At 38.5% G+C, this 27,885-nt stretch overlaps 1 protein-coding gene across 3 annotated transcripts in view; it reads right to left on the bottom strand.

The window, feature by feature from the left end:
- The window catches only part of UPP2 (uridine phosphorylase 2), a 140,976-nt gene that overhangs the window by 25,922 nt on the left and 87,169 nt on the right, over nucleotides 1-27,885 (bottom strand). For 2 of the 3 annotated variants that reach the window (NM_173355.4, XM_017003484.2), the window contains exons 1-2: nucleotides 8,108-8,357; nucleotides 4,017-4,134 (exon numbers count right to left, since the gene is read on the bottom strand). In NM_173355.4, coding sequence (NP_775491.1) covers nucleotides 4,017-4,134; nucleotides 8,108-8,169 — 180 coding nt within the window. In that variant the 5' untranslated portion in view covers nucleotides 8,170-8,357. Of the gene's footprint in view, nucleotides 1-4,016; nucleotides 4,135-8,107; nucleotides 8,358-27,885 lie in introns of those variants that run through there. The other variant, NM_001135098.2, reaches the window with a different exon arrangement.

The raw sequence follows: 27,885 nt of genomic DNA, 5'->3' as shown, positions 1-27,885 counted from the left end.
GTGGAAATTGAACAATGAGAACACTTGGACACAGGAAGGGGAACATCACACACTCGGGCCTGTCATGGGGTGGGGGCAGTGGGGAGGGATTGCATTAGGAGATATACATAATGTAAATGACGAGTTAATGGGTGCAGCACACCAACATGGCACATGTATACATATGTAACAAACCTGCAGGTTGTGCACATGTACCCTAGAACTTAAAGTATAATAAAAAATATTTCTTCTTTTCCAACATTAGCCTTTAATTCTATAAATTTCCTCTCAGCACTCTACCCACATTCTGTAGATATAATATGTTGTATTTTCATTTTTCCTCAGTTCAAACTATTTCCTGCCTTCCCCGGAAATGTATATCCTGCTTTGTTTGAGTGGAGAATTTTATAAATGTCCATTAAATTTGAATAGATAACTTCTAAGGATCTTCCACCGTATGTATTAATTGTCTGAATCTTTCTAGTGAGTATGGCAGAGATTGATTAGCTGTTCACCTAAACAGTTTGCTCTTCTTTCTGGGCACCCAGCTAAACTTAACATCTCAGCCTCCTTTCCAGTTAGACAAGGTCATTTGTCTGGGTTCCAGTGACTAGAATTTGAGCAGAAGTAATGGGTACCATTTCCAGTCCTAGCCCATAGAAATCTCCCATCCTACAAGGAGGATGTATTGGTGACCCTACATATTGTCGCTGTCATCTGCTGGACAGGTGTTGACACACTGGGAAACAGCAATTTATGCCTTGAAGGAAACAGTAACAATTATGGAAGGAGCCTGGGTCCTCGAATCACCAGATGTAGGGAAACCATCCATCAACTAAGAACTCCCACCTTGTACCTAATGTGAGTGAGAAGTAAACTTAAATTGTATTAAGCTACTGAGATTTTGCAGTAGCAAGTAGCAAAAATTTTTAAATATGGTAAGAATATGAAGGAAATAGGAGTGATTGCTGGAGTCTGAAGTTTCAGCTTTATACACCCAGAGTTCTCCTTTCTTGGAAGATAATGGTATTAATAATGATTATCATCTCTGTGAAGACAAGCCTGAGTTTTCAGGTACTGATGGATTATGTCCTCTTTTCTTAGCCAGGACTGCTGCCCTGGGATTTAAGGAACTCAAGAAATTGAATGTAGAATGTTCTCATTCAAAGAGGAGAACATGGCTGGAGGAAGGCAAGTTTCTGAGGAAACCATCTATGAGAATAAATCAGACTTTACACGCTGCCTTGAAAAAATTCTACTTCAGATTAAATGGCCAGTTCTGAACATTTGGAGCTAGGTTACCTGCTCCTCAATTTACAAACACACACACACACACACACACACACACACACACACACACACACACGCTTTTGCCTCCTATTCATCAAAATGGCTCAATCAGTAGAGTTGCTGTTTGATGGGATAAAACATGTTTGAAACAGAGCATGTCTTTTTATCCAAAAGATAATTTACTGAAGGTTCACAACCAGGTGGGTGGTGAATGTATAAGGTTGGATAGTGGTTATGACAGACAGTGTGTGAGAATAAGTGCTGAACAAAATCTGGACAGGCAGACGTGAAGGTCTGTTTCCTGGGATTATAACCGAGATGAGACAACTATGTGTGTGTGCGTATGTGTGTGTGTGTCTGTGTGTGTGCGTGTGTGAGAGAGATACATACATGTGAGTCCCCTTATTTTTATCTCTAAAACAAAGCTTTCCATCCCAATAATTTCCCAGAAACTAATACTTGGAGTACTAAAAAGTACTAAAACATAGTGCTTTTGTTTTTTTGTTTTTGTTTTTGTGTTATTTTGTTTTGTTTGAACAGAGAAAGAGCCATTATTTTTTTATCGGAGAAACCTAAGGTTTAATCTCAGCTATTTGACTTACCAGCTGTGTTGTGCCTATTACAGACAAACATATATGTGTTATAACACTATGTATATATTTGAGCCTGTGTTTTCTCATCTGTAAAGTGGAGATAATAACTATAGTTGCTGTGGGGACTGAATGTACCATTTGCATGTGCCACACAGAGTCTGATATATAGAAAGCGCACCATAAATGGTAGAGGAGACACAGACACCCAAGATATGTAGATAGCAAATCACTTTCTGTCTCAAATATATATCTCAAGTCTTTTAAATGTATTAACCAGCTGTGTGCCTTAGTTCATTAATTGTGAAAAGTCTTTCAATTAATCAGAGTCATCCCTAGACAAGGGTCCTGGGATATTATTGAGAGGCATGAACCTCAAATCTAACATTTGAATTCTGGTACAATCTGGTTATTGAGTATTAAAGACCGCCTTGATCAATGACTCTTGGAGCATAAGTAAACCAAAACAGCAGCAGGGGAAGAGGTTACATTGAGAAGACAAAGCGCAAAATAGAGGCAGGCCACACAAAGGCAAGGAGCACAGCCTGGAGAGGAGTGAAGAAAGGGTGGGTCACCTCACTGCCAGGACACCCACCCATGCCCTCACACCTTCCTTCCTAGGAGAGAGGGAGCAGGAGAAGGCCACTCAGCACCTACTAATCATAGGCATAATAGATCTATTTCTTCTCATTTTCCCATCTTTTTTTCTTTCCTTCCCTCCTTCCTTACTTTCTTGTTCCCTTCCTTTTCCTCTGCCTCCAACCTCTTCCTCCTCCCCTTTTCTCACCTGCCTCTTGACCCACTGGGTAAGTGAAAGAGCTAGGATTAAATAATTATGGACTATCCTGAGTTACTGTGACTCAAAGGGTCCTCCTAGTGCAATGAGCAAGAACCCTAGAGATTGGACTTGGAAGAACTTAATCCAGGTCTCAGCACTACCACTCTATGGTGTAACTGTAACCTTCCTCCACCTCTCTGAACTTAATTTCCTTGTTTTATGGAGAGAGTTAATATCTGCTAAACCCATCCAAAAGAGCTAAATCTGCAGATGTTAGTGAGATAGTAGATGTGACGCTTTTATTTTTGTTCTCGTAATTGCTAAAGAAACGAAAAAGTCAGATGAAAACAGCGCGATTCTCCATTAGTGCAACTGTAAATAGATACAGTCTTTTGGAAAACAAAAGTTCTTTAAAAATTCAGTCTCTTTGACCATTTCTGTGAATCACCCTAAGCAAATTGGCCTAAATGTAGAAAATCTTTAGTTACAAAATATTCATTTGATTCCTGTTTATAATGGAAAATATTTTAACATAAAACTCAGTAATAGTCTCTGTAATGTGTGGTACACCACTTGACACCCATAAATGATATGTTTCAAAAGAATGTAATAATATGGAGAAATGTTAATGATGTAAACCTAAATGATGAAGTGCAGAATGCAGTTATATAATTACAACTATTTTAAAGTCTATTCATTAAAAATGATTGAAAGAAAAAAATGAGTTGATCATGTCTATGTTTAGGTGGCAGGACTATTGGGTGTTTTTTAACAATCATATTCTTTTTTGTATTCCCTATTTTAAATAATGTACACAAATTGCTTATATAATTAAAATATGTCAGATAAAATAAATAATGCAGAAGTACAATTTTATGGTAGTATTTAATAAATAATTTGTATGAAATATTTCTTATGAAACAAAATTCTTAATATGAAATATTAGATAATGGTTATTTCCCAGAAGTGAAATAATATTATATTGTTAGTTTTGTTGGGTTATTTTTATGAGTTAATAAAACGAGAACTAGTGAGATTAAGCTATAAATGTAGATGCTAAATAGTGAGCTGAATCTGTTAAAACATAATGAATTCTCAACACCCAGCAGTATTGTCAATAAAATTATATTTATCTCCAGGGGCCAGAGTAGCCAAATAACATGTTTGCATTAGATTTAGTTTGGGAACCTTTATGTCTTGTTGAGGTGGAAATGATTGTTCATGATATACACATTCCAAATTGTTTCAGAGAATGAGTGTGACTTCAGTTCCTATTGGGACTGTGCTAGCCAAAGGTGTATAGATTATTTTGGCAAGGTAAGAAGAAAAATTAGTAGAGAAAACTCAATCATTTTTCCTGAAATTAGAAATGTTTTTACCTTTACATCTCCAAACATTGCTGGTAGGTTGTGTGTTTTTGTTCCCAAATCCAAGTGATAGAGAATGTCTTCATCCATCAAATCCAAGTAAGGATTTTTAACGTGAACAAACCTTTTTCTGGAAAAAAAAATTATACAAAGAAGATATAAAAGAATTTTGAGAGAAAGCTCACAAGAAAGAAAGTCTGAACATAAACCTTCCTTTAGGGTTAAATTATTTGTTGAGAAGCAATGTAGTATAACAGTAATTATGGCTAATATTTGCCCACACTATGTGCCAAGCATAGCACTGAGCATGAAAATGGCAAGAAAACTGCATATAACAAATGCATTAACTCATTTGTCCCATAACTGCCCTCTTAGCTGGGTAAGATTAATAATTTAGTTTACAAAGAAGCCAAGGCTTACAGAAGTTGAGAAACTTGTGCAAGATTAACAACCAGTAAATTACAAAACAGCCATTTCTATTCAGTTCTGACTGTAACGGTCATCTAATTTCTTTGCATGGGAGGCTGTGGAATATAAACTACTGGGCTCTGGATTCAGATTGCCTGGGTTCCAGTACAAGTTCAACCATATATATCCTAATTGTGCAACCTTGAGTAAGTTATTTGTATTTTATTTTATCTTCTCAAAGTGTAGCATGCATAACAATCAGCCGGACACTTCATGGACTCTTCTTCTGGAAATTCTGATTCAGTGAGTTGCTGATGTGTGTCCGAATTTGCATTTCTAGCAAGCTCCTCATTGGTCCTGATGTTGATGGTCTATGGACAACACTTTGAATAGCGCTGCCATTGAGGACTCCACCAACCATGCTGAACACACCACTTTCTTTCTACCCCACTGGCCATGGCCCTGGCTCAAACCCCCATCACGGCAGTGCTAGCTAGAACACCAATCCTTCCTCCCTTTTCTTTGTGAAATACCACGAAATTCAAGACAGTGAGCTGATGACGGCTATAAGAATGACCTTAATTCAATCTAGTTCATATTTATGAAGCATATCATTTGTAGCTTTCGGTTATTTGGATAGTAATCATATGCCACTAGAGTTGTTAGTGATAAAAGTTATCTACCCCCACACCACAGTGGGTCAAGACGTCTTTGCCAAGAACTGTCTGAGACTTCTTTGTTCTTTGTTCCTCCATTTCTCTCCACATGCCTGCCCCCTCCCCTCCCCTCCCCTCCCCTCCCCTCCCCTCCCCTCCCCTCCCCTCCCTTCCCTTCCCTTCTCTTCCCTTCCCTTCCCTTCCCTTCCCTTCCCTTCCCTTCCCTTCCCTTCCCTTCCCTTCCCTTTCAGAGTTTCGCTCTGTCACCCAGGCTGGAGTGCAGTGGCCCAATCTCAGCTCACTGCAACCTCCGCCTCCTGGTTCAAGCGATTCTCCTGCCTCAGCCTGCTGAGTATCCAGGATTACAGGTGCCTGCCACCATACCCAGCTAATGTTTGTATTTTTAGTAGAGATGGGGTTTCACCATGTTGGCCAGGATGGTCTCAAACCTCTGACCTCAAGCGATCCACCCACCTTAGCCTCCCAAAGTGCTGGGATTACAGGTGTGAGCCATCATGCCTAGCCTTTCCACATGGCTTTCATTCCATACACCTCAAAACATTTTACCAGGCCTTGTGTCTTTCTATATCTTTATCGATTCTCACTTGGGTTTGCATTAAAATTACCAGGGAGCTTTAAAAACAAAAACAAAAACAAAAAAACACTGGTGACCAGGCACTAATTAATTTAGACACTCTGTATTTTAAATCTAAAGATTTTAAGTATTTTTAAAATCTCAAATGATCTTTGGTGAAGCCAAAGTTGAGAACCCCTGCTTCAGGCCTTTGTCCTTCAAACATCCTTCCCCCTTTCTTCCACTTTTCACCTATCAAATTCCAATTTTCCTTTATGGTCCAATTCAAATATTACCTCTTCCGTGAAGGCTTTTCCAAGCATCTTCTCTCCTTGATCAGTATTAATTTTTTTCTCACTGTGTTCCCAAAGCATTTGTTTCATGCTAATGCTGGTAGATAGCATTTCACATTGCAATATAGTTAAGTTTCCATCCCTCTAGAAAGACTGCGAATCCCCTGATGCAAGCTATCTCAAATATCCTTCTTGAATCCCTAAGTTTTAACAAATTCTATTGTTGAATTAAATTTAACTGTTCAGAAATTGGAACAAAATACTATTAATTTCCTTCTCAAAAACATCTAGAGTTATAGATTTTTAATTAGTTACTGGGTCATACGTACCTAGTTTCAAAAATAAAGTATTCCGTGGTGTTAGTACACATTACTACTACAGAACAAGCTTCAAAATCTCAAAGCAAAGGGACATTTCCTTTCTTCTCTTGTGAGGCAAGAATTTATCCCTAGTCCCTTGTTATACAGTGTGTGGTCAGTGAACCAGCAGCATCAGGAACATCTGGGGAGCTCATTAGGAATGCAAAGTCTTAGATTCTACCCCATACCTGCTGAATCAAAATCTGCATTTTAACAAACTCTGTGTGATTCACATGCACATTAAAGTTTGACAAACACTGCCATAAACTTTTTCTTCCAAATTCTATTACACTTTCTGTTTCACTCTGCCAAGACTACTTTCACGACCTGGAAATATTCCTTTGGATTCCTAACTGAATCTATGAATCATTACTCTATAAAAGAGTCTCATTGCTCTACCCTAGTGATTCCAAACTCCAGCTACATATCAGAACCACCAGGGGCACTTTAAAGAGTACTTATCCCTAGACCCTATCTCTAGAAATTTGGATTGACTTGGTCAAGGAGACCTGGGCTTTGGTGTTTTTAAAATCACTCATCTATACACACACTTCCTATCTTCAAGGAGAAATTCTCCAACCAGCAGAGCCATTAATTATTTTCACTTATATTAATTATAATACTATTAATTCATTAGGATTAGTTTTCCTTGATGCCCTGTCCCAACGTCTAATGATTTCTCCGTCAGAAAATTTGGGGGACTGTCTATAGAAGTTTCTTGTTTCATTGGGCTCATCCAGAAGCACTTCTAAGATGATCACTTTATCAGTACCAAAGAAAAAACTTGTTTGGGATTTCATGCCAAATTTCTACCCAATATGAATGTAGTTTTTGGAATATTTGATTTTTCCAAAATATATAATTTTTACTAAATAGGTTTATATGTGTTGTTGAATCTTCAAACTCTTCTTCCTTTTCCTAACACATAGAATAGTCTTTTTAGTAAATCGTGACAAATTACACTACATGATGAGTATTAAATATTGGTAACCAAAAGAAAGTGCTGGCTGAGCAGAAGTCTTTCCATTTGCCATTACCTTCATCTTCATAATTTTTCCTTTTCTTTTTCTCCTGGGCTTCCCTGAAGAAGGGAACATGCAGGAGGCTACCTCTGTTTGGGATGGGCAAATGGAGTGTTTTCTGAAATGCTGACATAATGGAGGCTCTAAGCAAGACATTTCACACAACTCTCAGGAAATCAGAGGGAACCAGCAAAATCTCCTTATGCCTCATGATGATTAATGCTCTGTTGTGTTCTGTTAACCTGGGGCAGGAACTGGAGCTAAATTTGTAGACAGCTTCAGCAATTTTATATCTACCCATGAGATGAATCACATAGACGGTATTTCAGAAGTAAATTCTATGTAAGGTCCATCATGAAGCATATGAAATCACTCCACAATATCCTGCAATACAATTAAACCTCCCTCAGGCACTGGGAGGCCCTTTTAATTATTTCTCATTTGCAGCCCATGGTCTTAGAATTAAGGGCTGAACTCTATAGTGAGTCCCAGGCTGAACCTTGAATTTGTTTACTACTGAAGGTTGGCTAAACTTTTGCATGTTTTTTATAATTTATTTTGCCCCATTTTCTTAGATGAGCCAAACCCTAACCCCCAAAACCAAGGAGTAAAAATGTCATTGAAAATACATTTTCCACTGTTTTTATTGCTTTATGAGCTGCATCCAGTGATATAATCTCTACATTTAAGAAATTTGCTTAACTGTAGAGGCCCATTATCTAATCATTTAATACAAAATCCAAGGAGCAACCATCTGATCAAAACAAATTTACAAAATCAAAATTACTCACCCAACATATGTATTCCTGTCAGATCTCATGGACCTATTGGAGGCAGGTATAACTGAAGCCATTCTCTCTACTATGTGAAAAGTCACCTTAAATTGATGTCAAGAAAGAGAGATATTGTGACTTGTTATTAAATTATAGACCTAGTCATAATAGTTCAGTTCCCAGTCAGAATGATAACCTCTCTTAAAACTTAGGTTTTCCTGTGAAATTGCTAAGAAAATTTTTCCTTTAGCATTTTAAATTTTCCTATCAAATAAAAGATGTCCTCCCTGACATGACTTTTATACCACAGCCCAGCTCTCAGAGCAGCACTTCCTCAAGAAGATAGGCCCCCTTTGAAGGTGTGGCATCCTAGCTCTTTGACCAGGTTGGTTAGCTTGTTAACTATTGGTGAGAACTTTCCCTTACATCTGTCCTTGATCCCAACACAGGTTTGATGTTGCAAACAGGCTTATTTGCTTTGAGACAACTGTATATGGATACGAGTCCTCTTTTGGTTTCTATAACACACCTACCAGGTCTTCTCAAAACTGTGTCCAGTACATACGAGAACTTTCAGTTCTCAAACATTTCAGTTCCCCATCTCCATCCAGCCCCTCGCCAACTTGTTTTCATTCTTTGTCATCACAAGTTAGGGAAGCATCCAAAGTCTGGACCTCAGAATGTCCCTTTATCTGAACTTTGCTCATTCCAGTTCACACAGAAGAACTGATAATTAAACAAAACTTATTTCCCAGGGCCTCTTTCTTTAGTTAAACTGTAGGCCATTGGTAAAATTTATTGAACCAGGGGTTAATCCACATGGAATAATAATACAGCATAGTATTTTCAGAAAACGGAGTCTCTGCCAAGAAAGGCATGAATTCACTACTTTCACTAATGCTTCTCACTTTTCACTTTTGGGACAGAAAAATCTAGAAAACTAGACAACTTCATCCTGATCTTTTTTCTCTTCACTCCCATAGCAATCAGCTGAAGTTCTATGCTGGTGAGAGCTTCAAGAACGTAGTCTCATGGCTTTCAGGCAAATCAGAACCTAAAATGTCTATAAATGCCAAACAGCAGCAAATACAAGACACCTCCTAATATGCTTGGATTTCTTTCCAAGAATGTGCATCACAGTCAAGAATCAAGTGCTCATATCCTAACTGAGTTCTCCATGTTAGAAGATGCTCCTCTTCCTGGTGACAGTCATTCTTGGCAAATTCTTTGAATGCCCCACTGGCCTCCTTTGGTCCATCTTGGTCAGACAGCAAAGTTTACAGAATAGGAAGGAAAAAGAATAGGGGACTCTATATTGGGGAATCCATGTAGCCTAAATCTTGCCACTGTTACCACCAACTAGACGTTTGCAACTGTGCCCAGATAGCAAAAAATTCCTGAGGACACTTATCCTGGAAAAGGTAATGATGACTATGAGGCAAAATAGTCTTTAACATGTGTGTTGCCTTTGTAACTTAGAACAGTAGTTCTTGTTGATAGCTTGTATACATCTGTCTCTTACCTCCTGACTCATCTCAGGCTGGTCTACCTGCTGCTCCTTCCCAGGAACCACTGGCAATTTTGAGACTCAACATACTCACTCACTACTGCTGGCACCAGCACACCTTTATTTGATATTCCATGCCATATCTCTCAATTTTATTTTTAAGGTATAATGAGGAGAACCACCAATTTCAATCTGGCATTTACCTCTGGCTTTGAGAGGTAAAAATGTTAGCTAATTAGATAAGTGTTCAGTAATTAATTACCACAGTGAATTAACTAGGTTGATTAACATGTCTGTTTCCGGTGCAGATTCAGTCAACCAGTGATCTTGATCACTAACAGTGCCAGGTAATGCCATCTAAGATTTATGGACCCCATGTAACAACTCGGTCAGACATTTAGGCAAGTAATTGTCATTTGGATGAAGTTCAGAATAATCTTGTGGAATCTATAAAAGTTGATGAAAGTAGAATACTAGTTAATGCCTTCTGGGCAGTCTTAAATTATTCTCCCCACCTTTCAATCTTCTCAAGACTCGATCCTGCTCTTATGGTAGGTTGTTTCTCAGCAATGCTTTTTGATTGACTGTATTGCAAAAGGCCAGTCACCTGAAGAGCAGGGGAAAAGGTTTCGTTTTTAAAAATTATGCACACAGGAGTGCACAAGGCAAACTCAGACCTGGCCACTGGGTAATTTGCAAACAAAGGCTGTGTGCCAGGCACAGCCCATGACTCAGTCCAGCCTTGTGATCAGGAGGGTCTTGCATCAGATCTGCCAAATCCATGCTCCATGGTGTCTTGCCTGAGACAAAACACTTCACTTCCTACCGTCTTCCTTTATGATGCTGGCACTATTACATTCTCAATTCCATTACAGTTTTCTATCTGGCTTAATTTTGTCCCTGAACCTCTAATATTAGAAAAAGAAAGCACAGTCTTGATGTACAACTGGATAGCATTTAGGCCTCCCTGAGACCATGCTTTTGTGCTCTTTCCCTGCCTGCTAGACTAGCCCTGGGACCAGAGTCTCAATTCTTAGATGTCTCTCCATGGGGTATCAGCAAAGGTTGTATTGGTTCACCTGAGGCTGCAGCAGGCACCCCTTCCCAGAAGACACTGCCCCTTACACATGCACACACACACTAGCCTCACAGCCTATGGGAGTAGGGGTGTCAACGCACAGCAAAGTCCTCACATCTCCTCCTTCTTTGGCGGGTCTCAGAGTGGGGATGGGGTAACCAAGAGCCCTTTCCTCCTGCCACATCAGATTCCCTGGCTCTTCCATTCAGCCCATAGCACCAGCAATGGCTTGAGAGAGCTCCAAAAATGTCCTAAGCTATCCATTCTGAGGCTAAGCAGTTTATATTTTCATTTATTCATTCAATAAATATTAACTGAGCATACACCATGCTCCAGGAAGTCTAGGAAGTGCTGAAGATAAAGGCATGAAAAAGACAGTTCTTGCTTCTTTTCTTCCACAAAAATATTGACATTCCATGAATAAAGAAAACGCAAGTTACCACACTCCTCATACTAACCTTCTGTATGTTAAAACACATATACTAAGTGTAAATTCAGCATTCTCTCCTTCGTGACAAATAACTAAAACTAATTAAAGATCTTTTGATCTTTCCTTGAGTGTTTATTTTCCAATACATAGGTTATAGGTGCCTCAAAACCTTTGTATAAAAGGGGAGCTATTAAGAGTGTACAATTTTTTATGGTATAGATGTGTTATAGTTTAACATTATTACATATACGTGCAAAGAAAATGTACAGTATTTTCTATTAGCTATCCAGTCTTTCTCAGTATACGCACCCTCCTGGAAGATAGAGCAGAGGACAGTGTTTTTAAACTTGCCAATTAACAGCATCTCTGTCTTTGGTTTAAATAGTCTCATTTAGATGATTTATTTTCTTTTAGATACGCGTTCATCCAATTTCTTCCTTGTGCCCACTGCTCCCATCTGAGGTGACACGTACAAAATGGAATGGTGGGGATGAGCAAGGAGCAAGAGAAGGGCTCCTGGATCCATGTGCTCATTTCCTTGTATTATCCCTTGGCTCTATGTGATGATGCAGCTCAGGCATTGTCCGCTGTTTTCTCATAAGGGACCTGTGGCTACTTAGGTGTAGTCTATGGGTCCTTGAATGCGCTCACTGAGATGCAGCTGGCCCCATCTGGCCCTAAGGGAGCATTATGCTGGCCCTCCCCCTCACCATCTTGGATGCAGGCCTAAGCTGAATATGGAAATTCTCCTAGAGAATCACAACCTTTCTTAGGCTGCCTCGAAGGATGCAGGCCTCTGGCTGCAGTGTTCTCAGGCTGGCCTATGCCTAGTTGGATAGGGATAGCACCCTCCTCCTTTATTTTCACCCCCAAGGGTGGGTGGTCACCGCAGACCTTGGCCTGCCTCTTGCACCATTTCTCCTGCCCTCTTACTCTCATAATTAAAAGAGGAGACCCTCTTTGTACTTTTTCTCTCTGTCTTATGTGAATTTCCCTTATATCCTATCCTGAGTTCTCTCTGGTTTCTAGCAATCTCCGTGTTCAAGTCCAGACCTAGGTTTTTTTGTGTTAATGACAGTATAAACATATCTAAAATCTTTATTTTTCCTCACATTGCCTTATTAGGGACTCATAATTGCTATTGAAAGAATTCTAATTTCCTACTCTAACTCCCATTCCCCAGCAGATAGACGGGAGTGTGCACTATGAAAAAGGCCATGTATACAGAAAAGAAAAAAAGAGATTAGTATTAGGTTTCAAAGTACTATATTATAATTATAAGCAAGAATGATATCCCTAGGACAAATGCTACAACCCTACGGTGTTTGTTTTGCTCTTTTTTGGAGGGTGTTTCCCTCCACAATTCTGTCAAAATGCACTGCTGTTCTAGGCAGGGCCAGGCAGAGGGGTGGCAGCTGAATGTTTGCACAGATACCTTCCCCCGAGGGTTGGTGTAGTGGAGGCTGACCCATGCTGAGGCCCTGGGGAGGATTGCAGCATCCCCTAATCCTTGCAAAGGACTGCAAGCTCCTGTTTCCAGTCTCAGGAGATGTGGTTATGTTGTAAAAGTTTTAATAATTGTGTATGAGATTTAGAAATACAAAACAATGACATATTTTCCAGGACCCACAAGGCATTGACATCTGGAATCTTTATAAAGTTGAAATTTGCCTGAGGAAAATTTCTTGATTGACGAAATTTATTTTTTACCAGAATTATATACACACTCTCTCTATATATATATATATAGAGAGAGAAACCAGGAATTTCTCTTTGGACAATGATTAAAGTTAAGAAAATAACAAGTTTCAAATTGCGTGAACATTTATTTATAGGCTTTTGTAGGGGTTTGAGTAAGGAGGACTTGACTATTGTCAGCCATTCCAGAAAGGGTCTGTCTCCAGGTAAATGGAAACGCCACATAAGAAGTGTCATACTTATCATGCAGTAAGTGATTATTAAGCACCTACTATGTGCTAAGTTTGTTAATGCTCGAAGATGAGTAATGACTTACTTTATTTTATTTTTTTCTGGTTCATATTTTTTATCATGTTTTTAAAACTATAAAATATTTAATATATATTACAAAGTATTCAGAAAAATTTAACATGTTCTTTTCTACCAGACTTAATATTAATTTGAAAACATTAAAATTAATCCATGTACAGTTGAAGATTTATCCAATCTCATTTCCTTCCCTTTCTCCCCAGATAAGTAAACATAACCCTAAATTTGGGAAGTATACTTCTGGTTCAAGTGTTTTATAAGTTGAAGTATAGATGATAAAAAAATAGTTTTGGTTCTTCTGCTTAAAAATTTTACCTTAATACTATCCCACTCTACCTTCCTTTACAACTTTGTTTTCAAAAATTTAATATTATATATGCAATGATATCAAATTATTGTTAGGCATAGGTCTAATTCATCAGATTACCATATAGTGATCTGTTATATGACATTACAGCAATTTATCCATTCTCCTATTGATGGCCACTTATTGTTTATTATATTTATTTATTTATTTATTTTTGAGACAGAGTCTTGCTCTGTCAGCTAGGCTGGAGTGCAGTGGTGCAATCTCAGTTCACCGCAACCTCCGCTTCCCAGGCTCAAGCAATTCTCCTGCCTCAGCCTCCTGAGTAGCTGGGATTACAGGCCTGTGCCACCATGCCCAGCTAATTTTTGTATTTTTAGTAGAGACGGGGTTTCACCATGTTGGCCAGGCTGGTCTCGAACTCCTGACCTCAGGTAATCCGCCTGCCTTGGCCTCCCAAAGTGCTGGGATTACAGGCGTGAGCCACCACACCTGGCCCACTATTTTATTATTTTTTAATAATGGTCTTTGTTCTCAGCCTGTTTTTTCTGGCAACATCCAAATGAAAAGAACTTTACTTACAACTTCCCTGGCTTTTCTGGTGGCCTTTCTTATCACGAGCCTGACTCCCACAGTGTGACCAAAGCGTAAATTCACTGTTTTCTAATGGCTGACCTTAAGCCAACACCAGAGCCTCAGAGTCAACAGAAAACTCTGAACAGCCAGCAAAGGTCATCAGTGCCTCTAGTGGCCTGGTCAACAGAGGGCCTTAAGACTGAAAAACCCTTGACTTCTGCATGTACTTGACTTCAATTTTTAGGATGTTTCTGTTCTTAATGATGTTTGAGAAAATATGAGGCACCGCGTGTCTAACAAAAATTCAAGAAAAGCTATTTCATTGGAAATAAAGCATATTTTAAATCAATACCAGTAGGGAATAAAATGTAAAAGCTTTTGTCTAAGCTCGAAATAACCACATTCAACTCAGAATAGAAATCTGAAGGATAAGGAAAAATAATGAAAAAAAAAACAGGAAGAATGTCAGTAACAACAGTGGCTAATAGCATTACTCCAGGCCAGGCTTTGGACTAAACAGTTCGACTCCGTATCTCATTTCATCCTCACAACACGTCTGTGAGATAGGTATTATTATTTCCCCAATTTTCAGATGAGGAAATGGAAGCCTAGAGAGGTTAAATCAAATGCCTGAGATCCTATAGTGAGTAAATGGAGATTGGAGTTCAGATCTAGATCTGTGCAGCCACAAAACCATGAAAACTCTTTCTACTCTGCTTCTGGTACATGGTGGAGTCCATTAAAGAAGACAAAGTCCAAGGAGAATGGCCTCAACAAGAGAAGGGAATTTGATCTGGGTGTTGAAGGTGAAGTAGGACTGGGATGTAAGGAACATCTCTCTGCCACATTTTACCCTGCTAGTCATCAGGTTGTTGATTTAACTCATTTATAGGAAAAGAGGGCACAGTTAAACCATAGCAGCTGTGTGTTCTTTGAATGCTGATGAACAAGATGGCCCCATCAAAATGATGGCCCAGTCCTAAAGCTGATTTTAAAGTCATCTCATTGCCAAATTTTAAATTGACCCTTAAAATGTCTCTCACACACACTTTACGATTAACTCATCTCAGGCTCATCACTTCCCTATGATTTTACCCAAATAGCAGGGCCCAACTCACCACCCTGTCTGGAGCAATTTCTGTCTGCCCCTGAGCTGTCCCTGAAATATTAGTTAAAGGGTATGAGGGCTGAGAGGCTCTGTTTCTGCTGGTCTCCTAGCCTGGCTTCCTCACTGCCTGTGACTGGCCATTCTGGTGACTTCAAGCCTTGGAGATTAAAGCCCGTGTTAGTCTTTCAGCACCTGATGAAAGCGCTTAACCAGATCATGAAGTACATTGGGAAATCAGCCTCCACAGCTGGAGGAAGCTCTGTGAGTTTGACAAACCCCACACTGAAGGGAGAGGGGGTGATTTTCCTGGGAACTCAAGGAAGGTTCAGTCCTAACCTCTAACACACACCACAGATTATTACTGCTGCTGCCCAAGAGGGCTCAGATGGGAAAATAATGCTAATACATTGTGGAGGTGGTGAATTCTAGGCCCCCAAAGTCATGAAATTTCAAAGCTGACTGATTCTAATTTAGGTTTAGCTGAGTGAAAGAGAACAGTATGTTTTATGGAACTCTCTTAACATTACTAAGTGCAATATATTGAGTTAACCATTAATTTTTTTTCTAAGGAAGTAGAAAACCTTGGTTGTATAATCATGGTCACATTGACATTTCTGTAAATGCTTCACCTTAGGCATGTCATGACTTTTCAAAAATGTTATTCTTTTGAACACTTTACTTGGTTTTTTATTTAAAGTAACTAAACAGAAAATACTGTTGCTGTGGTGATTGTTAGGTCTTTGTGACTACTTCATGTTAGTTACTATAGTTAAAATTTTTAATTTTAAAACATTTAAACATAAAGGTACAGATATATTAGATGCCTGTGTAGTTACTACCCAAATTTAACAATTGTTACATTTTGCCATATTTAACACATTTTTTTTTAAAGGAAAGATTTCATTAAAGCCCTGTCACCTTCCTTACTTTAGATTACCTTCACTTTCTTCCTGAAGGTAATCACTGTCCTAAAGGTGAAGAGTTGGTAGGTATGCTTTTGGGGTATATGTTAAAACTCGTACTTATAAGTATGTACTTAATAACTACATGAGCAGGTTTAAGGTGTGTGCGTGTGTGTATGTATATGGTATATGTATATATATGGTAGATATGTATATATAAGAATCATATGTATATATAATATATGGCATATATATATAAATGTAACATATACTATATATATATTTTTAAAACTGGCTTTTTTATGTTGCTTCCAATTTTTTCCTGTAAACATCCTTATGGGTATCTTCTTGTGTATGCACATAAGAGTTTCTCTAATGTGTGGTAATAATATGTTTGCATGTATTCAGTTTTACTAGATAGTATTACATTGCCCTACCTAATAGTTTTACCAAGTTACACTTTTGTCAACAGTGTATAATAAACCCCATTTCCCCATATTGTTGCCAATAAATCTGATGTTGTTAGCCTTATAATTCTTTTGTTAATGTGATGACTGTAAAATGGTATCTCTTTGCTTTATTTCATTTCCCTGATTACTAGTGAGATTAAACGCCTTTATATATGTTTGGCAGTCTTTCAGCTTTCTTCTCCATTCTTTGCCCGTATTTTCTTTTGGGTATTTTATTTTTGTCTTACTAATTTGTAGGAGATTTTTATATATGATGAATACTGATCCTTTGTTGGTTATATATATTGTCCTTTACTTCCAAACTTTCCATGTCATTATGTTTTAGGAGTGTATCAGGTAAACAATACATCAATGGATTTTCAAAAAGTTGTCTTTTATCTATGTTTAATACATTTACAAATACTGTGATTCCTGATATATTTTTACTCCTTTCTTCTTATTTTTTTTCTAATTGTGTGTGTGTGTGTGTGTGTGTGTGTGTGTGTGTATGTTTCTTTTTACCGCCTTCCTACATTCTATAGAATGATTAAGTTCTCTGTGCTGGGCGCAATGGCTCACGCCTGTAATCCCAGCACTTTGGGAGGCTGAGGTGGACAGATTACTTGACGTCAGGAGTTTGAGACCAGCCTAGCCAATGTGGTGAAACCCCATTTCTACTAAAAATACAAGAATTAGCCAGTCATGATGGCGTGCACCTGTAGTCCCTACTTCTGGGGAGGCTGAGGCACGAGAATCACTTGAACCCGGGAGGCGGAGGTTGCAGTGAGCCGAGATCATGCCACTGCACTCCAGCCTGGGTGGCAAAGTGAGAAAAAAAAATGATTACATGATTCTTTGCAGACCCCATTTCCCTCTGTTATTTTGGAAGTTATATATTTTATTTCTATTCTTTCAATAGTTACCCTTACATTTCAACAAGCATACTTAATACAATTCAAAGCTAATTAATACCTATACTCTTCTGCATAACACAAGCAACTTGGAACAATTTAACTCTAATTACTACTTCACATTTTGGTATAAAGTAACTTAATCTATCTTGTTTTCATCCCTTCCTCCCTTTTAGTCTTATGGTTACCACTTTGTTGATAGTTAATAATAATTTACATTATCCATGTCTGCCAATGTCTTTGATCACAATTGCTTCTCAGATCTCCTTCCTTCTGGGTTTCTTTCTTTCTAAAGTACATTATATAATAGTTCTTCAGCATGGGCTTTGAGCTGAAAACTATCTTTGTTTTATCCTCATTTTTGAGTGACTATTTAGCATGGTCTAGAATTCCAGATTGCCAGTGATTTTCCCTCAGCACTCATGGGATGTTTATTCATTATCTTCTGGTACCCATTGTTGCTGATGAAAAGTTTGTTTTCATCTGCTTGTGTTTGAGTAAGTAATCTGTCTCTTCTTTCTGGTTGCATCTAGATTTTCTCTTTATATCCTGAAGCTTTATTAAAATGTGTTTAGGTGTGACTTTTTTAGAAAATAACTTATTCTCATGGCTCACTGTGCTTCCAAATTATGAAAAAACCTGTCTGTTATCAATTTTAGGAAATTCTCACTATTTCTTCCTGAATAGGTTATCTTCTTCTGGCACCCCTCTTAGATGTATGTTAGGCCACCTCAGTTTGTCCTCCTAATGTATTAACTTCCCTTTTATACATTCAATTTGTCTCTCGGCAATAAAATGAGAAATTTTCTCAGATCTTTCTTCTTCACACACTCTCTGGGTGTGCTTGACCACTCTTAACCTATCTGTGGTTAGTTGCAGTAATGTCCTCAATTATTTACTCCACCCTGTATCTACACCCTATTCCATATAACTATGCAATGCCTTCTCACCATAAACTGGGTAACATTGACTGCTCCTTGACCATGGACTCGATCATGCCATTATTTTGATCAAGAAAATGAGTCAGAACTGACAATGTGCCAGTTGTTCATGCCTTTGCACTTCCCCATTGTCATACTAACATGCCCAGGGTAGTCTGCTGGAGGAAGAGAAGCATGTAAAACGGAGCCCAGGCACCTCGTCACCCCAGTGAGGGCCAGCCTAGATCATCCAACAGCCAGCTGAGCCCCAGAAGTGAGCAAGCCCACGAAGATCAGCAAAGTCACTTTGCCAGCCCAGCTGACCCCAGGCACATGAGTAGGAAATGCTTGCTGTGTGTCTTTCAGGACCTATGGCAATAGCATTATTGTGGCAACAGGGTAACAAATATACCATGCATTGAGATTTTTCGTTTACTAAACTTTTTCATTTGTAGGTAAGCTAATTATTACTTTTTCAAATTAACCTATATTTAAAAACCGTATCCTATTTTTTCTACATATTTCTGTTTCATCTTTTGTCTATGTAATCATTTTAAACATAGATATTTTATAATTTCTTTCAGGTTGTTGATCTATCTGAAGTTCTTGAAGTGCTAATCTTCCCATTACAGCTGATTTCTCTCATTAGTGTTTCCTCATTTTACCTATAATTTCAATTTTGTAGTCCATATCTATTTTACCATGGGAATCCAGTACACAGAAATATTTGAAAGCATCCCCAGGCAGCAGTTTTGTATTTGCTTCTGCTAGAGGCTACAAGTGTGTCCACAGTCTAGGACCAGTTTGACATTAATGTCTTATTTTAAGGATTTTGGTACCATGTAGGTAGCATAAACTGTCATTCTACAAACACAAGTGACGCGTTACTTCCGTTTCTCACTGGAGACTGTTTTTGTACCCACGTGCCACAGAGACAAACTTTCTTTGCATTCAAGACAGTCATTGGGATGTTAGCCCTCTTTCACTGAAGGTACAGAGTTTCCCAGTTTTGGCTTAATGTAGAAGTTTCAGGTTCAACGGTCACCTACAAACCAGGACCCTGTGTATACATCCTGCAGAATCCCAGCACCTTGGCACGGGGGCCTATTCCAAGTTTGATCCTCTCTGGGCCTCAGTGGCATCAGCTCATGAGCTTACATTCTTCATTTCTAAAACTTGGGGGTTATCTCTTTTATTCCTTAAAGCTAACCCATGCTAGCCTTTAGACAATACTCCTTTTATGTCTGTTAGGAAAGTTGTCCATGTGGGTCCGTGGCCGTGCTGCTGGCAGATGCTTTGTTTAACAAGCAAAAATAATATTGCAAAAAATTAGAAATGAAAATTTTTTTAAATTTATTTTTAATTGCTATGGGTAAATAATAGATGTATATACTTAGATACATTTGGTTTGTTTGTTTGTTTGTTTTTTGGGTTTTTTGGGTTTTTTTGAGACGGAGTCTCACTCTGCCGCCCAGGCTGGAGTGCAGTGGCACCATCTCGGCTCACTGCAAGCTCCGCCTCCCGGGTTCACGCCATTCTCCTGCCTCAGCCTCCGGAGTAGCTGCGACTACAGGTGCCCACCACCACGCCTGGCTAATTTTTTGTATTTTTAGTAGAGACAGGGTTTCACCGTGTTAGCCAGGATGGTCTAGATCCCCGACCTCGTGATCCGCCCGCCTCGGCCTCCCAAAGTGCTGGGATTACAGGAGTGAGCCACTGTGCCCGGCCTACATTTGATGTTTTAATACAGGCACACAATGTGTAATAATCACACCAGAGTAATTAAGGTATCCATCACCTCAAGAATTTATTTATTTGTGTTAGGAACATTCCAATTCCACCCTTTTAGTTATTTTTAAATATATAATAAATGATTGTTGACTGTAGTCACTCAGTTACGCTATCAAATACTAGATCTTGGGGAAAATGGAGGATAGGAGGCAGGACTAATTTGCAGCTCCCACTCGGATGGACAGAGCAGCATGTAGAGACTAACATCATGAACTTTTGCTTCAAGAACTACTGCAGAAACAGCCAAGAGAGTCCACAGACCCTTTGAAGGAAGTGAACTGCTGCTGCAGGCCCCAGGATATACCCAAAAAACTGTGAGTGCCCAAAATGTGAAAGGGGGATATTCTGCCCCCAAACATATACCCTTACTGGGAAACCTGAAGGTCCAGATCCCAGATCACAGGAGAAGGATTTGACCTTACCTGGAGCTGAGATGAATTTAGAGAGTCAAGTGAAATACAGGGGTAGAAGCAGCAGCGAGAAGAGCCCTGTGGGCACTTTCATTCTCCAGGGATGCCATTTCTGACTTTGTCTCACAGGGATCCTTTGGGAGGGCTGCCAGAGGAACTGGGAAATGACCAGAGAGAAGGAAACTTCCAGCTGAACTTTGTAACAATTTCAACCGAGTGCAAAGTTTCCTGGACAGAAGTTGGGGTCGGGGGTGGTTGAATCGGGAGTGCAGACACAGCACAGAAACTGCAGCAGGCAGGGAGGTGCAAAATCTGAAAGCCCTGCTTGCTTTCTAAACCAGGAGGCTGGTAGCCTGGGGCAAGTTCTCAGCCCTGCTTACCCACTGCCTGGAAACAAACTCAGTGCTGTCAAAGGGGCACGGTGGGAGTGAGCCCAGTCATTCAGGCTGCAGAGAAGCCAGGTGAGGCCTGTAACTAACAACTTTCCCCCACTCTCCTGGCAACCTACATGATGCACAAAGGCAACCATAATCCCCCTGGGAACGTAACTCCATTGGCCTGAGAACCACACCCCTATCCCCCCAGCAGCCACTGCAAGACCCCACAAGGAGACTCAGAGCTCAGACACACCTAACCCTGCCCCCACCTGATGGTCTTTCTCTACCCGCTCTGGTAGCCAAAGACAAAGGACATAATCTCTTCAGAGCTCTATGGCCCTGCCCACTCCCTGATCCTCCCTACACTATCACAGCTAATGCTCTCTTGAAAGCACCACCCCCTGGCTGGAGGCCAACCAACATGAAACTAGCACAATAAGCAAAACTACAACCAGGGACCCTCACAGAGTCCACTTCACTCCCCTGCCACCTCCACCAGAGCAGATACTGTTATCTACAGCAGGGAGACCTGAAGACGGTCCACATCACAGGACTCTGTGCGGACACTCGCCAGTACCAGCCCAGAGTCCAGTAGTTGCAATGGGTGGCTAGATCCCGAAGAGAAATTACAATCACTGCAGTTCAGCTCTAGGAAGCCACATCCCTAGAGGAAGGGGGAGAGCAACACATCAAGGGAGCACCCCATGGGACAAAAGAATCTGAACAGCAGCCCTTGAGCCCAAGATCTTCCCTCTGACATAGTCTACCCATATGAGAAGGAACCAGAAAAAAAATTCTAGTAATATGACAAACAAGGTTCTTTAACACCCCTAAAAGATCACACTGGCTCACCAGCAATGGATCCAAACCAAGAGGAAATCTCTGAATTGCCAGAAAAAGAATTCAGAAAGTCAACTATTAAGCTAATCAAGGAGGTGCCAGAGAAAGGTGAAGTCAAACTTAATAAAATTTAAAAAATGATATATGAAGGGAAAAAGCTTCAGTGAAATAAATAGCATAAATAAAAAACAATCACTACTTCTGGAAATAAAGGACACACTTAGAGAAATGCAAAATACACTGGAAAGTCTCAGCAATAGAATCAAGTAAGTAGAATAAAGAACTTCAGAGCTCGAAGACAAGGCTTTCAAATTAACTCAATCCAACAAAGAAGAGGAAGAAAGAATTTTAAAAAATGAATAATGCCTCCAAGAAGTACGGGATTGTGTTAAATGGCAGAACCTAGGAATAATTGGTGTTCCCGAGGAAGAAGAGAAATCTAAAAGTTTGGAAAACATATTTGAGAGAATAATTACAGAACACTTCCCAGGCCTTGTAAGCGATCTAGACTCCAAAAACAAGAACCTCAAAGAACATTTGGGAAATTTATTGCAAAAAGACTATCACCTCAGCATAGTCATCAGGTTTTCTAAAGTCAAGATGAAGGAAAGAATCTTAAGAGCTGTCAGGCAAAAACATCAGGTAGCCTAAAAAGGAAACTCTATCAGATTAACAGCAGGTTTCTTAGCAGAAATCCTACAAGCTAGAAGGGACTGGAGACCTATCTCCTTAAACAAAACAATTATCAGCCAAGAATTTTGGATCCAGAGAAACTAAACTTCATAAATGAAGGAAAGATGGTCTTTTTCAGGCAAACAAAGGCTGAGAGAATTTGCCACTCCCAAGCCAGCTCTATAAGAGCTGCTAAAAGGAGCTCTAAATCTTGAAACAAATACTCAAAAAGCACCAAAATAGAACCTCATTAAAGCATAAATCTCACAGGATCTATATAACAAAAGCACAATGAAAAACAAACAAAAAAAGGTATTCAGGCAACAAATAGCGTGATGAATAGAATAGTACCTCACATCTCAATACTAAAATTGAATGTAAATGGTCAAAATGCTCCACTTAAAAGACAAAGAATGGGAGAATGGAGAATTCACCAACCAAGGATCTGCTGTCTTCAAGAGACTCACCTAACACATAAGGACTCACATAAACTTAAGGTAAAGGGGTGGAAGAAGATATTCCATGCAAATGAGCATCAAAAATGAGCAGGAGTAGCTATTCTTATATCAGACCAAACAAACTTTAAAGCAACAGTAGTTAAAAATGCCAAAGAGGGACATTATATAATGATAAAAGGACTTGTTAAACAGAAAAATATCACAATCCTAAACATATATGCACCTAACATTGGAGTGCCCAAATTTATAAAACAATTACTATTAGACCTAAGAAATAATATAGATGGCAACATATTAATAGTGGGGGACTTTAATACTCCACTAACAGCAATAGACACGTCATCATGACAGAAAGTCAACAAAGAATGGATTTAAACTATAATTTAGAACAAAGGGACTTAACAGATATTTACAGAACATTATACCCAACAACTGCAGAATATACATTCTATTCCTCAGCACATGGCGCATTCTTTAAGATAGATCATATGATAGGCCACAAAACAAGTCTCAATAAATTTAAGAAAACCAAAATTATATCAAGTACTCTTTCAGACCACAGTGTAATAAAATTGGATATCAACTCAAAAAGGAACCTTCAAAACCATGCAAATACCTGCAAATTAAATAACCTGTTCCTGAATGATCATTGGGTCAACAATGAAATCAAGATGGAAATTAAAAAATTCTTTGAACTGAAAGATAATAGTGACACAACCTATCAAAACCTCTGGGATACAGCAAAGGTGGTGATAAGAAGAAAGTTCATAGCCTTAAATATCTACATCAAAACATCTGAAAGACCACAAATAGACAATCTAAGGTCACACCTCAAGGAACTATAGAAACAAGAACAAACCAAACCCAAACCCAGCAGAAGAAAAGAAATAACAATGATCAGAGCAGAACTAAATGAAATTGAAACAAAAAAAATACAAAAGATAAATTAAACAAAAAGCTGGTTCTTTGAAAAGATAAATAAAATTGATAGATCACTAGTGAGATGAAACAAGAAAAGAAGAGAGAATATCCAAATAAGTTCAATTAGAAACAAAATGGGAGATACTACAACCAATACCACAGAAATACAAAAGATTATTCAAGGCTACTATGAACACTTTTATGTGTATAAATTAGAAAACATACAGGAGAAACTAGAAATATATAACCCTCCCAGATTAAACCAGGAATAAATAGAAACTCTGAACAGAACAATAATAAGCAGTGAGAGATAAATGGTAATTAAAAATGCCAAGAAAAGTAAGTCCAGGATCAGATGGAGTCACACCTGAATTCTATCAGACATTCAAAGAAGAATTCGTGCCAATCCTGTTGACACTATTCCACAAGATAGAGAAAAAGGGAATCCTCCCCAAATCATTCAATGAAGCCAGTATCACCCTAATACCAAAACCAGGAAAGGACATAACAAAGAAAACTGCAGACCAATATCCCTGATGAACGTACAAAGATACAAAAATCCTCAATAAAATACTAGATTAACTGAATCTAACAGCATATCAAAAAGATAATCCAGCATGACAAGTGGGTTTCATACCAGGGATGCAGGGATGGTTTAACATATGTAAGTCAATAAATGTGATACACCACATAAACAGAATTAAAAACAAAAATCACATGATCATCTCAATAGATGCAGAAAAAGCATTTGACAAAATCCAGCATCCCTTTATGATTAAAACCCTCAGCAAAATCAGCATACAAGGGATATACCTCAATGTAATAAAAGCCATCTATGACAAACCCACAGCCAACATTATACCGATAGGGGAAAAGCTGAAAGCATTCTCTCTGAGAACTGGCAAAACACAAGAATGCCCTCTCTCACCACTTCTATTCAACGTAGTACTAGAAGTCCTAGCCAGAGAAATTAGACAAGACAAATAAATAAAGGGCATCCAAATCAGTAAACAGGAAGTCAAACTGTCACTGTTTGCTGATGATATGATTGTATACCTAGAAAACCCTAAAGACTCCTCCAAAAAGCTTCCTAGAACTGATAAATGAATTCAGCAAAGTTTCAGGATACAAAATTAATGTATGAAAATCAGTAGCTTTGCTATACACCAACAGCAACCAAGCTGAGAATGAAATTGAAAACTCAATCCCTGTTACAATAGTTGCAATAAAATAAAATATAATGTAATACTTAGGAATATACATAACCAAGAAGGTGAAAGACCTCTACAAGGAAAACTGCAAAACACTGCTGAAAAAAATCATAGACAAAACAAACAAATGGAAACATATCCCATGCTCATGAATGGGTAGAATCAATAATGTAAAAATAACCAACTGCCAAAAGCAATCTTCAAACTCATTGCAATTCCCATCAAAATACCACCATCATTCTTCACAGAACTAGAAAAAAATTCTAAAATTCATATGTAACAAAAAAAGAGTCTGCATAGCCAAAGCAAGACTAAGCAAAAAGAACAAATCTGGAGGCATCACATTACCCAACTTCAAACTATATTATAAGGCCATAGTCACCAAAACAGCATGGTACTAGTATAAAAATAGGCATACAGACCAATGGAATAGAATAGAGAACCCAGAAATAAACCCAAATACTTACACCAAACTGATCTTCAACAAAGCAAACAAAAACATAAAGTGGGGAAAGTATATCCTATTCAAAAAATTGTGCAGGGATAATTGGCAAGCCACATGTAGGAGAATGAAACTGGATCCTCATCTCTCACCTTATTCAAAAGTCAACTCGAGGTGTATCAAATACTTAAATCTGAAACCTGAAACTGTAAAAATTCTAGAAGATAACATCAGAAAAACCTTTGTCGATATTGGCTTAGGCAAAGACTTCTTGACCAAGAACCCGAAAGCAAATGCAACATAAACAAAGATAAATAGATGGGACTTAATTAAATGAAAAAGCTTCTGCACAGCAAAAGAAACAATCAGCAAACAGACAACCTACAGAATGGGAGAAAATCTTTGCAATTTATATATCCAACAAAGGACTAATTTCCTGAATCTATAAAGAACTCAAATCAGCAAGAAAAAAAAATCCCATCAAAAAGTGGTCTAAGGACATGAATAGACAATTCTATTCAAGAAGGTATACAAATGGCAAACATATGAAAAAATGTTCAATGTCACTAATTATCAGGGAAATAGAAATCAAAACCACAACACAATATGAGCTTACTCCTGCAAGAATGGCCATAATTAAAAAATAAAAAAATAATAAATGTTGGCATGGATGTGGTGAAAAGGGAGCACTTTTATACTGCTAGTCAGAATGTAAACTAGTACAGCCACCATGGAAAACAGTGTGGAGATTCCTTAAAGAACTAAAATAGAGCTACTATTTGATCCAGCAATCCCACTACTGGATATCTACTCAGAGGAAAAGAAGTCATTATATGAAAAAGATACCTACACATGCACGTTTATAGCAGCAAAATTCTCAATTGCAAAAATATGGAACCAGCCCAAATGCCACTCAATCACCATAGATAAAGAACTTGTGAGATATATATATATATATAAAAAACATATATATATAAACAGACATAAACATATGTCTATATATACGTGTATATATATATATGTATATATATATACACCATGGAATACTAAGCCATAAAAAGGATGAAATAATGGTATTCAGAGCAACCTAGATGGAATTGGAGACAATTATATTTTTTTTTAATTATACTTTAAGTTCTGGGATACATGCACAGAACCTACAGGTTTGTTTCATAGGTATGCACATGCCATGGTGGTTTGCTGCACCCATCAACTCATCATCTACATTAGGTATTTCTCCTAATGCTACCCCTCCCCTAACCCCCCATCCCCCAACGGGCCCTGGTGTGTGATGTTCCCCTCCCTGTGTCCATGTGTTCTCACTGTTCAACTCCCACTTAAGAGTGAAAACATGCGGTGTTTGGTTTTCTGTTCTTGTGTTAGTTTGCTGAGAATGATGGTTTCCAGCTTCATCCATGTCCCTGCAAAGGACATGAAATCATCTTTTTTAATGACTGCATAGTGTTCCATGGTGTATATATGCCAATTTTCTTTATCCAGTCTATCATTGATGGACATTTAGGTTGGTTCCAAGTCTTTGCTATTGTGAACAGTGCCGCAATAAACATACGTGTGCATGTGTCTTTATAGTAGAATGATTTATAATCCTTTGGGTGTATACCCAGTAATGGGATTGCTGGGTCAAATGGTATTTCTGATTCTAGATCCTTGAGGAATCGCCACACTGTCTTCCACAATGGTTGAACTAATTTACACTCCCACCAACAGTGTAAAAGCATTCCTGTTTCTCCGCATCCTCTCCAGCATCTGTTGTTTCCTGACTTTTTAATAATCGCCATTCTAACTGATGTAAGATGGCATCTCATTGTAGTTTTGATTTGAATTTCTCTAATGACCAGTGATGATGAGCTTTCTTTCATATGTTTGTTGGCTGCATGAATGTCTTCTTTTGAGAAATGTCTGTTCATATCCTTCACCCACTTTTTGATGGGGTTGTTTTTTCCCTGTAAATTTGTTTAAGTTCCTTGTAGATTCTGGATATTAGCCCTTTGTCAGATGAGTAGATTGCAAAAATTTTCTCCCACTCTGTAGGTTGCCTGTTCACTCTGGTGATAGTTTCTTTTGCTGTATAGAAGCTCTTTAGTTTAATTAAATCCCCTTTGTCAATTTTGGCTTTTGTTGCCATTGCTTTTGGTGTTTTAGTCATGAAATCTTCGCCTACGCTCATGTCATGAATGGTATTGCTTAGGTTTTCTTCTAGGGTTTTTATGGTTTTAGGTCTTACGTTTAAGTCTTTAATCCATCTTAAGTTAATTTTTGTATAAGGTGTAAGGAAGGGGTCCAGTTTCAGTTTTCTGCATATGGTGGAGACCATTATTCTAAGTGAAGGCACTCAGGAATGGAAAACCACACATTGTATATTCTCATTCATAAGTGGAAGCTAAGCTATAAGGATGCAAAGGCCTAAGAATCATACAATGGACTTTAGGGACTTAGGGAAAGAGTGGGAGGTGGTAAG

This window comes from Homo sapiens, chromosome 2 (genome assembly GCF_000001405.40).
Source record: "Homo sapiens chromosome 2, GRCh38.p14 Primary Assembly".
In the NCBI taxonomy this organism is placed as follows: domain Eukaryota; kingdom Metazoa; phylum Chordata; class Mammalia; order Primates; family Hominidae; genus Homo; species Homo sapiens.
The sequence above is the reverse complement of the archived record's forward strand: the minus strand, read 5'-3'. Positions and strand labels throughout refer to the sequence as shown.